The sequence below is a fragment of the Homo sapiens genome, chromosome 16 (assembly GCF_000001405.40).
Source record: "Homo sapiens chromosome 16, GRCh38.p14 Primary Assembly".
NCBI lineage: Eukaryota > Metazoa > Chordata > Mammalia > Primates > Hominidae > Homo > Homo sapiens.
In genome coordinates this window covers 22,118,704-22,132,783 of record NC_000016.10, presented here as the reverse complement: position 1 = coordinate 22,132,783, position 14,080 = coordinate 22,118,704, and the positions used below count along the sequence as shown (strand labels likewise).

At 45.7% G+C, this 14,080-nt stretch overlaps 1 protein-coding gene across 18 annotated transcripts in view; it reads right to left on the bottom strand.

Annotated features, from left to right (window-relative positions):
* Window positions 1-14,080, bottom strand: part of VWA3A (von Willebrand factor A domain containing 3A) — a 64,424-nt gene that overhangs the window by 24,181 nt on the left and 26,163 nt on the right. For 10 of the 18 annotated variants that reach the window (XR_007064857.1, XR_007064856.1, XR_007064855.1 and 7 more), the window contains 9 exons: window positions 13,757-13,882; window positions 11,681-11,816; window positions 11,167-11,270; window positions 9,619-9,699; window positions 9,248-9,310; window positions 9,077-9,171; window positions 6,487-6,606; window positions 1,505-1,579; window positions 1,055-1,199 (listed from right to left, as the gene is read on the bottom strand). Coding sequence is in view for 14 of the 18 variants with exons in the window: in XM_011545742.4 (XP_011544044.1) it covers window positions 1,055-1,199; window positions 1,505-1,579; window positions 6,487-6,606; window positions 9,077-9,171; window positions 9,248-9,310; window positions 9,619-9,699; window positions 11,167-11,270; window positions 11,681-11,816; window positions 13,757-13,882 (945 nt within the window). In the remaining 4 variants the exon portion in view is untranslated. Of the gene's footprint in view, window positions 1-1,054; window positions 1,200-1,504; window positions 1,580-6,486; window positions 6,607-9,076; window positions 9,228-9,247; window positions 9,311-9,618; window positions 9,700-11,166; window positions 11,399-11,680; window positions 11,817-13,756; window positions 13,883-14,080 lie in introns of those variants that run through there. The other 8 variants (XM_047433629.1, XM_047433632.1, XM_047433631.1 and 5 more) reach the window with 5 other exon arrangements.

Sequence of the window (14,080 nt, the reverse complement as noted above, 5' to 3'; positions counted from 1 at the left end):
CTTGGCACAAGGATGGAAAGAGATGAGGCTGGGTTGCAGTTTCTCTCAATATTTTAACAGAGTGTGGTTGGGGAGCTGGACCTGAGAGCCTCCTGATACCAGGCATGTTCTAGACCAGTAGCATCCACATCCCCTGGAAGCCTGCCAGAAATGCAGACTCCCAGGCTCCACCCCAGACCTACTGAACCAGGATCTGCACTATGTAGGTATGTATGTATGTATGTATGTATTTTAAAGAGACAGGGTCTCGCTCTGTTGCCTAGGCTGGAGTGCAGGGTCATAAACATAGCTTGCTGCAGCTTTGACCTGCTGGGCTCAAGCAATCCTTCTGCCTCAGCCTCCTAAGTAGCTGTGACTACAGGCACATGTCACCACACCTGGTTAATTTTTTTTTTTTTTTTGAGATGGAGTTTCGCTTTTGTCGCCCAGGCTGGAGTGCAATGGTGTGATCTCAGCTCACCGCAACCTCCCCCTCCAGGTTCAAGCGATTCTCCTGCCTCAGCCTCCCGAGTAGCTGGGATTACAGGAATGTGCCACCACGCCCAGCTAATTTTGTATTTTTAGTAGAGATGGAGTTTCTCCATGTTGGTCAAGGTGGCCTCAAACTCCCGACCTCAGGTGATCTGCCTGCCTCAGCCTCCCAAAGTGCTGGGATTACATGCATGAGCCACTGTGCCTGGCTACATCTGGTTAATTTTTTAAATTTTATTTTTGTAGAGATGGGGTCTTGTTGCTATGTTGTCCAGGCTGGTCTCGAGCACCTGGGCTCAAGAGATCCTCCCACCCCAGCCTCCTGAGTAGCTGGGAGTACAGGCATGTGCCACCATGGCAGGTTATTTTAAAAATTTTTACAGAAATGTGGTCTCACTATATTGCCCAGGCTGGTCTCCAGGGCCTGCATTTTAACAGCATCCTTAGGTGCTTGTCTATACATTAAAGTTTGAGAAGCACTGGTTTAGAAATCATGCTGCAGAAACCTTGGCAAGGTATCCACCTGGGGGAAGACGGATGAGGTCGCAAAGGATAATGGACACCCAGGACGTGGCCTACCCACCATGTCCTGGTCGGGGATGCCCCCAGTGAAGAGGTAGATTCCCTGCGATTGGTGTTTGTCTTTGTCCTTGAAGTCTACTTCCACAGCCTTCCGCAGGGCGCTGAGAACGTTCCTGCTGCCCCGACACCGCAGGTTCAGGGCCCACCTGCGGAGGCAGAGATGGCCATGCTGAGGGTCATTGGCCCATGCCCAGGGCATACCTTTTGGGAGTAGCTGAGAGCCTTTTCCATCTCAGACGTGATGGAGTCGATGTCATCACTCTCATAAAGTGAAGATGGCCAGGTGGGGAGAGCAGCAGACAGAAGGAAGCTGTTTTCTGATTTCTGCCCATGGCTGTTTGGGGTCAGGGACTCTAGAGAGCTACTTCTTGGTGGAGAGGGGGACAGAGAAAACAATGCCTGCAAACCTTCCCTCAGACACAGCCCCACGAAGTCTCTGCCCATAACCTACCGCCAGGCACTTTGTAAATTGTTGTGACTCACGGGAACCATCTCAGGCCTCCAGCTTTCAATTGTGCTTCCAAACCTTTAAGAAGCAAAGAGAGTTCGTTCTTAGGCTGGGGGAGGTCCACTTGGTGGCCCACCTCTTTGGGCTTTGCAGGCTTTTAGTGGGGACAAAATTCTGATGAGATCCCCTAAAATGTGAGGATGTCACTGGCCTGGGCCAGCCATGAGATTTCCTTGTGGGTCATATGTCCCAACATACTTCAGCCAAGACACAGTGTGAGCCAGCTTTGGTCAGCTTCCTTTCTGAAGCATTGAGCTATGGCGTGTGGCCCCCTCTTTAACCTCCCCTAGCATGGCTTCTCTCACTGCACATTTCCCCTCCCTATCCATACTATAGTTTGTTTTTTTTTTTTAAATACACATCTATGTAATCAACAGGATTTGGCAAAGAAAAAAAATATACCTCTAGCCTGGGCAGTATAGCAAGACCCCATTTCTACAAAATAAAAAAAATTAGCTGGGTATAGTGGCACATGTCTGTCAACCTAGCTACTTAGGAGGCTGAGGTGGGAGGATCACTTGAGTCCAGGAGGCTGAGGCTGTAGTGAGCTATGATTGTGCCACTGCACTCCAGTCTGGGCAATGGAGTGAGATCCCATCTCAAAAAACAAACAAATCCTCAAATCCAGAAAACCCACATTGTCTCATTTGTCCTGTAAGACAGAATTTAAGATCTTTGAGAAGAGGATTTATACCCTTTATGAAGGAAAAGTTGTCCCCTCTCTAGTTTGAGATTAATTCCTCCACCTGGCCTTTGACCTCATCACCCATCTCTTCTGAGACTTTGCCCCACAGTTCCTCCCTCACATCCACACATTCCCAACTTCTCTCCACTTCCCTCTGCCCCGCGCCTCTCTACCTGTTTCAGACTCTCTATACTTAACAAGAACATCCTCCTTCCCCTGGGAAGCTACTCTATGAGTGACTTCGCTCTTTTCTCTTTCCCCTTGTGGACAAGCTCCCTGGAAACACAGTATACCACCACTTCCTCACCTCCTCAACCTATTGCAGTCAAACTTCCACCCTGGGGGCATTCCCTGGTAGAGATAAAGAATGCCCTCCATTCCCCCACCAGTGGAAATATATCCCTATTATCGTTGGATAATAAATCTGGGTCAAGTGATTCTTATGCCTCAGCCACCTGAGTAGCTGGGATTACAGGCCTGCACCGCTGAGACCCACTGATTTTTGTATTTTTAGTAGAGACGGGGTTTCACCACGTCGGCCAGGCTGGTCTCAAACTCCTGGCCTCAAGTGATCCACATGCCTCATCCTCTCAAAGTGCTGGGATTACAGGGGTGAGCCACCGCGCCCGACCTTCAGGTACTCCTTTAGAGCAGTGCAGGAATGGACTAACACAGCATCCCAACACCTTTCTCTCTTGTTTTCCTCCCACCTCTCTGGGTTCTTCTTTCTTGTGTTCTTTTGGTGGTTCCCTTCTTCTGCCCACCCTTCGAATGCTGGTGTCTTCCAAGTGCTGCCTTTGATTGTCTTCTCTCTCCTCTTCGCATCTCCACAGGTGCGATCCCTGCACTACCATTTATTTCATTCATAGAATCAAAATGCTGATGGCTCAAAACCCCTTATTTCTTGGCTAGGTCTCCTCACTGGAGCTCCTCCTCCTCTTAATGTCTCCAAACTCTTGAGTGTCTCAGACTCGGGATGTTTAAAACCATCTTTCCCTTCAGAGATCTGTTCTTCTTGGGACATCATCTTCTCTTCACCATTCTTTCACCCCCTACAGCCAGTGATGACATTCTGTAGATTCTAACTCCCCAAAATCTCTTCCATGCACCTCTTTCTTTCTTTCTTTCTTTCTTTTTTTTTTTTTTTTTGAGATGGAGTCTCGCTGTGTCGCCCAGGCTGGAGTGCAGTGGCGCAATCTCGGCTCACTGCAAGCTCCACCTCCCAGGTTCATGCCATTCTCCTACCTCAGCCTCCCGAATAGCTGGGACTACAGGTGCCCACCACCACGCCTGGCTAATTTTTTGTATTTTTAGTAGAGATGGGGTTTCACCGTGTTAGCCAGGATGGTCTCAATCTCCTGACCTCGTGATCCGCCCGCCTCGGCCTCTCAAAGTGCTGGGATTACAAGCGTGAGCCACTGTACCCAGCCTCCATGCACCTCTTTCTTGATTAACTTTTATTTTGGGCTCAGGGGTACGTGTGCAGGTTTGTTATATAGGTAAACTCCTGCCATGGGGGTTTGTTATATAGATTATTTCATCACCCAGGTATTAAGCCTAGTACCCATCAGTTATTTTTCCTGATTTCCTTTCTCTCACCCTCACCCTCCAATAGGCTCCAGTGTGTGTTGTTCCCCTTTATGTGTCCATGTGTTCTCATCATTTAGCTCCCACTTATAAGTGAGAACATGCTGTATTTGATTTTCTATTCCTGTGTTAGTTTGCTAAGGATTATGGCCTCCAGCTCCATCCATGTTCCTGCAAAGAACATGATCTCATTCTTTTTTATGGCTGCATAGTATTCCGTGGTATATGCATACCACATTTTCTTTATCCAGTCTACCACTGCTGGGCATTTACATTGATTCCATCTGTTGCTATTGTGAATAGTGCTGCAATGCACATATACATGCATTTGTCTTTATGACAGAATGACTTATATTCCTTTGGGTATGTACCCAGGGATGGGATTGCTACTTTGAATGGTAGTTCTGTTTTTAGGTCTTTGAGGAATCATCACACTGCTTTCCACAATGGTTGAACTAATTTACACTCCCACCAAGTGTGTAAGTGCTCCTTTTTCTCTGCTACCTCGCCAGCACCTGTTATTTTTTGACTTTAATATGGCATTCTTACTGGCCACGCACTCTTTCTTCCATTCACATTGCCTTGGCTCAAGCCCACTCAACACTAGGGCAGGCAATTGCAATAGTCAAACTGGTCTCTTCCCTCCAGTATTACATCCCTTCAGTTCCTCCTTCACAGCATTGCTTGAGCATTTGAAGACGCAAACCCGATTGTATTTGTACCTTGCTTGCAATCCTCCAGTGCCTTTATATCCTATAGCACAGGAAACTCGTGAGCATGGCCTATATCAATCCTCCATCACCTGGTATTTCTGTCATGCACAATCTCTCCCTCTCAGCCCCATATCCATGCTGAACTACCTGATGGTCCCTAAGGTTCTAGCATACGTCACACCTCTGCTCATGCTGTTGCCTCTACCTGGAACACCCTTTCTCCCTAGGACCCCATCATTCCCAGGTGCTAGGCAAACATCTACTTATTCATCAAGACTCAGCAAAAGGGGCACTTGCTCCATGAAGATGTCCTGAGCCTACTCCACCCAAGTGGAATGGACTGATCCTGCCACTGATACCTTGCAGTCCCATACCTAGCTATCTACTCATTTCTATAGAAAACGCTTAACAGCACTCCTTAACATCCCTGTCTCCCACTGTTAGGCCATGAGTTCCTCGAGGATGAGTTTTGTGTGTCTTCATGTCCATCTCCCCAGTGCCTGGCACAGGGACTGGTTCATGCAGATTGTCAATGAAACATTGCTGAATGAATGAATGGGTAAATAAATAAATAAAATTCCTTATCTATAATGTTACCATAAATATTTTTATATAGAGTTTATTAAGGAATGACTGGGCTCTGGTACAGAATAATATCTAATACTAACTGTTGACTTAATAGGTTTAGAAAATGCCCTATTTGGTATGAGGTTGTATAAAAACCTACACTTTAAGTGGGTTCCTTTTCTCTCTGTCTTCCCTTATTAGTTAAAATAGTATGCAATTTAAAAAACTATATATATAGTTTTTATGGCTGAGCTCAGTGGCTCAAGCCTGTAATCCCAGCACTTTAGGAGGCTGAGGCAGGCGGATTACTTGAGGTTAGGAGTTCAAGATCAGCCTGGCCAACATGGTGAACCCCATCTCTACTAGAAATACAAAGATTAGCCAGGTGTGGTGGTGTGTGCCTGTAGACCCAGCTACTTGGGAGGCTGAGGCAGAAGAATTGCTTGAATCTGGGAGGAGGAGGCTGCAGTGAACTTAGATCAAGCCACTGCACTCCAGTCAGGGCAACAGAGCGAGACTCCATCTCAAAACAAAAACAAAACCAAAAACAAACTATATATATAGTTTTTAAATTAAAAATGCTAGATATGTACTATATTTAATTATATATAAAATATAATTTTAAAACTATATTAACATTTTAAAACTATATATACTATATATAATTTTAAAACTATATATAATTTTGAAGTAAGTTCAAATCTTCAAAACCTCTCTGATCTTTGTTGTATTTAATTCTAAATTATACAGTTTTAAAAATTGCATACCATTTATATATATATACACATAATTAAATGTATACATATAATTTTATTTATTTATTAAAACACAGATGGGGTCTCACTATGTTGCCCAGGCTGGTCTCAAACTCCTGGATGCAAGCGATCCTCCTGTCTCGGCCTCCCAAGGTGCTGGGATTACAGGCGTGAGCCACTGCACCTGGCCAAATTTATATATACAGTTTTAATTTAAATTCAGAATTGGAATCCTAAATGTTTGAAAAGGTATGGCTTGCTGGAGACAGGCTGAGGACTGACACTAGGGCATGGCTGGGGTCCTTCCTTTCCTCTTCTTCCTATTTCATCTTGGAAGCCAAATGGGCCAATGGGCTGAATTACTTTATCCTGGTTGATCAAGCAGTGTGTTATGGGGTCACTTACCACCTTCGCCCCAGTAGGACAGTCCTGCAACTATTTAATTATTCAATGCCCCAAACAAGATCATCCAAATCAGATAAACCGATGGCTATCCTAGGAAGCCGGGTGACCATGACGTCAATATCTATCGTCCAGCAACGTCCAAAGCCTCAGCCCAATGACGGCATCCAAACACACACGACCCACCCTTGCCCCCAGGAGCCAGGAGACACATACGCGATGAGGTTGAAACAGTCCTTGTTGGATAACTGCTCCTCCAGCAGCAGCCGCAGGGAGTGCTGGATATGAATAATGTACATGGAATTGGTCGCAGAGATATCGAGCAGTACAACCACCCTAAAAGGAAACACGAGCTTTAAGAGGAGAACCGAATCTCTGAGATAATGTTTATTTTGTTCCATTTTACTATTTAAAGTTTTTTTCCAGGGGAATTTTGCATGCCAAATTCATAGCTGGCCAAAATCTTCTCTGTGGTTTGAGGCCAACGGATGTGGGCTTACAATGGTAGATTAAGGGGGTCATGGAAGCCCCCCTTCTCTCCCAGGAGGTGCTTTAATGGAATAAAGCCTCATGGTGGAGATGGTTTAAGTGGTAGGCGCTTCATATAATGATTTTCACAGATTTATTTTAAAGAATTAGCATTCAATATTTTTATAGGTCAGAATATGAAAAAATATATATGTATATTGCCTTAGGCAAGTCACAAATCCTCTCTGATCTTTGTTTAAGTAGTTTAACTATAAACTACTTGTAAGACTCATCATAAGGTTGCTTCAAGAACAAATATATAAGGCCGGGCGCGGTGGCTCACGCCTGTAATCCCAGCACTCTGGGAGGCCGAGGCGGGCGGATCACAAGGTCAGGAGATTGGGACCATCCTGGCTAACATGGTGAAACCCTGTCTCTACTAAAAATAAAAAAAATTAGCCGAGCGTGGTGGCGGGCGACTGTAGTCCCAGCTACTTGGGAGGCTGAGGCAGGAGAATGGCATGAACCCGGGAGGCAGAGCTTGCAGTGAGCCAAGATCGCGCCACTGCACTCTAGCCTGGGTGACAGAGCGAGATTCCGTCTCAAACAAAACAAAACAAAACAAAACAAAACAAAACACACACAACAAATATATATATATTTAGACGGTCTCTCTCTGTTGCCCAGGCTGGAGTGCAATGGTGCGATCGTGGCTCACTGAAGCCTCAACCTCCTGGGCTCAAGAGATCCTCCTGCCTCAGCTTCCCAAGTTGCTGGGACCACAGGCACACATCACCATGCCTGGCTAATTTAAATTTTTTTTTTTTTTTTGTAGAGACCAGGTCTGCCCATGTTGCTCAGGCTGGTTTTGAACTCCTGGCCTCAAGTGATCCTCCTGCCTTGGCCTCTCAAAGTACTGGAAATACAGGAATGAGCCACTATGCCCGCCATAGGTTGGGGTCTTCGTAGGGAAAACGAAAACCAGGTGAGCAAGTAACATAAGGAATTAGGTGTATCTGGGCCTCTTGGAAAATATTTTTATCTTTTTGTTTGCTCTCTTTCTGTTTTAAGATCTCTAGCCTTATTTGTTCTTTCTCTAATTTTAGAACTTCAAACTTATATTCCCACCTTCTGCCCCATTCTCATTTTGAGACAGCTATGGATAGCAAAAGAAAATCTATGGGATTTACAGTCAGAAGACCTTGGTTCAAGTTCCGCTTCCTACCAGCTGTGTGGCCTTAGGCAAGTCACAAAACCTCTCTGATCTTTGTTTAAGTAGTTTAACCATAAACTACTTGTAAGACTCATCATAGGGTTGCTTCAAGAACAAAATTACATAATAGATGTATAGTGGCCAGGTGCGGTGGCTCATGCCTGCAATCCTAACATGATGGGAGGCTGAGGCAGCAGAATCGCTTGAGGCCAAGAGTTTGAGACCAGCCTGGGCAACATAGCAAGACTCTGTCTCTAATAATAATAATAATAATAATAATAATAATAATAATAATAATAATAGATGTATAGTATTACAAAATATAATACTTTGTAAATGTTAATTCATCAAACAAGGTATGGAATCATAATAATGGCCATAATAGATAACTATTGTTTCTCCCAACTCAGCATCCATTACCTCATCTGGCAACAGCATCCTGATTTTCCTTTGGGAAACACCTCTGCCTCTATCAGTCAATTTGAGTTGTGTGAAGCTGAGCCTACTCCAAGCTCCAGGGATGGGCATTTGACCCTGGCCAATCAGAACATCACACCTCTGGCTGGGTGGGAGGATCTATTCATCCATGACCCATTTGCTCTGGCCAGGGAGGAGGTGTGATTTTTTTTTTTTTTTTTTTTTTTTTGTGGTAGACACAGGGACTTGCTCTGTTGCCCACGCTTGAGTACAGTGGCACGATCATAGCCCACTGCAGCCTTGAGCCCCTGGACTCAAGCGACCCGCCTGCCCCTGCCTCAGCCTCCTAAGTGGCTGGGACTACAGGTGTACACCACCATGCCCAGCTAATTATTTTATTTTTTGTAGAGACAGGGTCTCACTATGTTGCCCAGTCTGGTCTCAAACTTTTGGCCTCAAGCGATCCTCCCGCTTTGGCCTCCCCAAGTGCTGGGATTGCAAAAATGCTCAGTGACACAATGATGACATTATTGACATCAGTGATGGTGTTGGTGACTTTTTCCTCCTCTGGGGGTTCTGCTGAGAGATTCCTAATCCCTAATCTAAGTGATGGCTTCTGATGCTACCAACAGGGAATTCATGAGGCGGATAAATGTCACGTCACACACCAGACCCATGAAGGATAAGAACCCTGCTTAAGAAAGGTACCTTTTTTCACAGACTGTGCCCCAGATTCTTCTGCTGGCCAGGGAGAGCCACTCAATCCGCCTCTCATACATCCGCATAGCTCTGCTGAGCTGTTGCTGCAGAAGTGTGGGCCACAGTGAGCGGCTGCTCAAAGGCTGAGCAACCAAGGGGCCTGAGGGGAAGTACGTGTACCTGGGTGGGCTTCAGGGAATGGTGTGTCAAGTCCCTGGGAATCCAGGCAGTATAATCATTCCACTAAATCATGAACAAATTCACCACAAGAACAGGAAGGGAAGAGTCACACGGTATTTCATTGCATCAAATGGGGAAGGAAGCAGATCTTTCCCCAGAGGATTAGAAGCCTTTTTTTTTTTTAAAGGCATTGAGGTCCCTGCTTGGGGAGGAGATGGCCAAAGCTTCAGGAGGCCTGTAGGTGGAGCACACAGTCCCTCTTTACAAGAGGGAGTTGAGTCAATGGCTTGGTGACTTCATAGCCCAGGGAACCTTCCTCCCGTCCCCACTTTCTGCACCCCATTTTCTGACTGATTGAACCCATCACTGACCTGGTACTTATAGAGGAAGGGTGGGTCCACATGAATGTTCTTCACTGTCCCGTCGTGCCATTCAAATTGTATCATTGCCTTCTATACTCAGGCATGGGCAGGAGGGTGAGCAGGCGAACAGAAGTACATGTAGTTTAATTTGGGCACTGGTTCTCCAAATCAGGTGCAGGAGAGTGAAGTGGACTCTGAACACATTTGAGGTCGGATCGAACTCCCTCCCACATCTCCACCACACACACACCCCAATACCACCACCACCACCAGGTCATTGCCTTGTCTGGAACTGGAAGTAGAGAGCCTTAGAGAGAGTGATCCCCTGAATGGACGATACCTGACAGCAAGCCTCTCAGGCTGTTTTCCCGAGAGGCTTTTCTGAACATCAGAGTCATGAAGATATGGTTGGAGGGTTTTAGTAATAGAGAGCACAGTTGGAGACCTTAAAATATACTGGCCATAGCTTCTTAGGTTTGGGAACCTAGACAGGCCTTTACAGATGCTTTGAAAATCCAACTTGTTCATCCTGTTTTTTCATCCTCCACCAAGTGAACATATCCATCTATCACTCCATCCATCTAGTCATTCATCCATGCACTGCTAGACCTACATGTCCCTTACTCTTCTCTCTTCCTTTCAGTCTTCCATCTTTCTGCCATCTTTCTATTCACCTATTATTCCTTCCTTCCATTTCTCCATCCTTTCACTCCTCCATCCATCCATCCTTACTTTAATTTCTACTTTCATTCTTTCACTTGTCCTTTATTCCATTTTGTCATCTATCCTTCCATTTTCCCTTTTACCCTTCCACCTGTTCAGATTTCTATCCATTCACCCATCCATGCATCCATCCATCCATGCATCCATCCATCCATCCATCCATCCATCCACCCATCCATCCATCCATCCACTCATCCATCCATCCATCCATTCATCCACCCACCCACCCCCCCACCCATCCATCTATCCATCCATCTATCTATCCATCCACTCATCCATCCATTCATCCATTTACCTATCCATCCATCCATCCATCCATCCATCCATCCATCATTCTTTTCCTTCTTCTTGCCATCCTTTCTTCCAACTACCTTCTCAGCCATCCAGTAAACATGCATTGATTTCCTACTTATACTAAACATGGAGGATAGAGAGTTAGAGAAGAGTTTGCCCTCTTTATACTTCATACTTGATGGGGATTTAAATATGTAAAAATTCATGCATTAATCCTTTATGGGAGCAATTGCAGAAGTCTGCATTAGGTACAGCGAGGACATAAAGAAAGCAAGTCTGTCCTGTCTGAGTTGGGAGGAGAAAACCTTCATGGAGGAGGTGACCGTGGTACCTGATTTATCCCTCTTGCCTCATCTCCCAAGTTCAATTTTCAGATCTTTGAAAACCAACAGCTACAGTGGATTTGATGTGCATTCTAGGGTCCTGGGTGGGAAGCCTGAATCCCTGGTGATTCTTACTGCCAGAACATTTATGAAGGTAGGAAAAGCCACAAGGGAGCTCTCCTGTGGAGGACTGGAGAGAATTATGAATCTGAATTACCTCATGGATGGTCGATGATACTGTTTTCTGGAGAATAGGTACAAATTCCTCCACAGGAGAGAATGCATTGGGTGCCAGGACCTGATATAGACTTAATTTCTTGGCTGAAAAAAAAGTGTGAGGTTGGAGGCACTGCCTGAGAAGCTCCAAAGGGTTCAAGCCTTTTATTTTTTTGAGACAGGGTTTTGCTCTGTCACCCAGGCTAGAGTGCAGTGGCACAATCATAACTCACTGCATCCTCAAACTCCTGGGCTCAAGGTATTCTCCTGCCTCAGCCTACCTGAGTAGCTGGGACTGCAGGTGCATGCCACCACACCCAGCTAATTTTATTTTTTATAGAGATGGGGTCTTGCTATGTTGCCTAGGTTGGTCTCATATCCCTGGCCTCAACTGATCCTTCCTTCTTGGCCTCCCAAAGTGCTGGGATTGCAGGTGTGAGCCACTGTGCCCGGCCGGATTCAAGCCTTTTAGTCAGTCACCTGTTTCCTGGGTTCTGCCCTCTTTGGAGATTTACCTTTCAGACCATTGACCTTAAGCCACTCTGCAGAAGTCTTGTCCAAGTTTGGAAACTCAATGGTGAGAGGAGCGTCATGCTTTGGGGGTTTAGGCAAGAGGCTTATGAGTGGCCCATTTGTAATCTCTGTGGAAATCTAAGTTAAATGAGAAAGCCCTCATTACATAATCATATTTTAGAGCTGAAAAGTCCTCAGTCTTCACCCTCCACCCAGTCAATGCAAGTGGAGCTTCTTAAACACTCCCTGGTAGATTAAAGGCAGTTTTGCCTTTCCCTTCCATCATCCCCTCCCCTTCTCTGCAGATTTCTGGAATTTCCAGGGGAAGAGGAAGGAGTACCCAGCAACTCGCTCTCACAGTGGCCCATGCTCCTGGCTCCTTCCCTAACCTTACCATGAAGATCAGCACCATGGACTCCAAGGTGACAGGTCACCCCTAAAAACTCCTGCAGCAAATCACTTAGTGAGCTCCCACCTGGCCACCCTGTGGCCACATTGACAAAGTAAAGAACTGAGGCGCTGAGAGATTAAATTACATAGCGAATGTGTAAGTAAAAATAGAACAGCAAGTCCCAAACTTCAGAGATTTGAGCACTGCCTTCATGAATTTTGCTATATCTGAGTGCTACTGTATTATTATTAATATTTTAAGAATCAATATGTAACATTAATGCTTTTTAGTTATTAATTTTCTTTAATTTTAAAAATTCAATCCCTTTCACAATTTTAGAAAGAAGATCTATGATGACCATAATGAGCTAGTTTTAAATAGATACCATTTAAAAAATAATTTAATCCATGCACCACCTAAAATCATCTTGCAAACTACAAGTAGTACATGCACTTCATTTTGGGAAACTCTTGGCAAGGTTTTGGGCCTTAGACCTGGGTTCAATCCAAACTCAATCTATTTCTATCTTTGCAATCTCAGGCAAGTTATGTAACCTCTTAACTTTGGTTTCCTCATCTATAAAAAGTAATAACATACTTACCTCAGAGTGTTAAGATAAAGCATTTAAATAATTGAACATTGTGCCTATCTCATAATGAGGACTTAATAAATGAGAACTATTATAATTTTTTTTTTTTTTTGGGAGTCTTGTTCTGTTACCCAAGATGGAGTGCAGTGGGACTATCTAGGCTCACTGCAACCTCTGCCTCCTGGGTTCAAGAGATTCTCCTGAATCAGCCTCCCATGTAGCTGGGATTACAGGTGCCTGCCACCATGCCTCGCTAAGTTTTGTATTTTTAGTAGAGACGAGGTTTCACCATGTTGGCCAGGCTGGTCTTGAACTCCTCACCTCAAGCGATCCACCTGCCTCAGCCTCACAAAGTGTTGGGATTACAGGCATGAGCCATCACACCTGGCCAAGAACTATTATAATTCTAATACTAATTGTTATTATTGTATTTGTATATTTTTAAAATTCTTTTTTGAGACAGGGCCTCGCTCTGTTGCCCAGGCTGGAGCACAGCAGTGCCATCATGGCTCACTGCAGCCTCAATCTCCCAGGTTCAATCATCCTCCCACCTCAGCCTCCTGAGTAGCTGGAACTACAGGCACATGCCATCGTGCCTGGCTAATTTTTTAATCTTTTGTAGAGACGGTGTTTTGCCATGTTGCTCAGGCTGGTCTTGAATGCCTGGACTCAAGCGATTCTCTGGCCTTGGCCTCCCAAAGCACTGGGATTTCAGGTGTAAGCCATGGCTGAGGTGAGAATGACTCTCTTAAAGGCAGCCTATTCTGGGTGGTTGAGGTTTTCATCATTCTCCAAACTGGGGGTAAGGGAGGGGACAGTGACAGGATAGAGAGGGTGGCAGGAGCCTGCTGGTCTTTCTCTGAAATAAATTTTACAGTTAGTAAATCCACCAGAATCTTTCCGGTACCATGGTGGGCCCACCCAGCCCACCCAACTCAGAGCTCTGGGGTGCAATGGAGGGTGGGCCTTGCCTTGTTTCGATTTTAGGAAGTGACAGGCACTGGCAGCTGTGCCCCCTATGAACAGGTGAGAAAGGGGAACGAGGCCAGCTGAGTGCTGCTGGGAGAAGGCCCCAGAATTGACACTCGCACCACCTACCTCCTCCATGGTGCAGGTGAGCGCCTCACAGGGGCTGCTGTGCTGCAGGGCTTGCACGTGGCTGAGGAGGCTCTGGGCCTTCTGAATTTCTGCCAGGAGCTCATCCATGTCCCGGCTGGTGTAGTGCTGAGGGTGGCAAGAGCAATCAGACATCCGGAATCACTTGACTACCTGCAGGGGTCAACCCAGGAAGGGGCAAGCAGCCAGGCCAATGCCCAGGCAGAGGGTCAGACTCTCTCCACCAGGCCTTATACACTGGGACCCATGTGCCAGACAGAGCCTGCAGACATGCTGTGCTCCGTTTGTGCAATTGGCCTGTTGTGT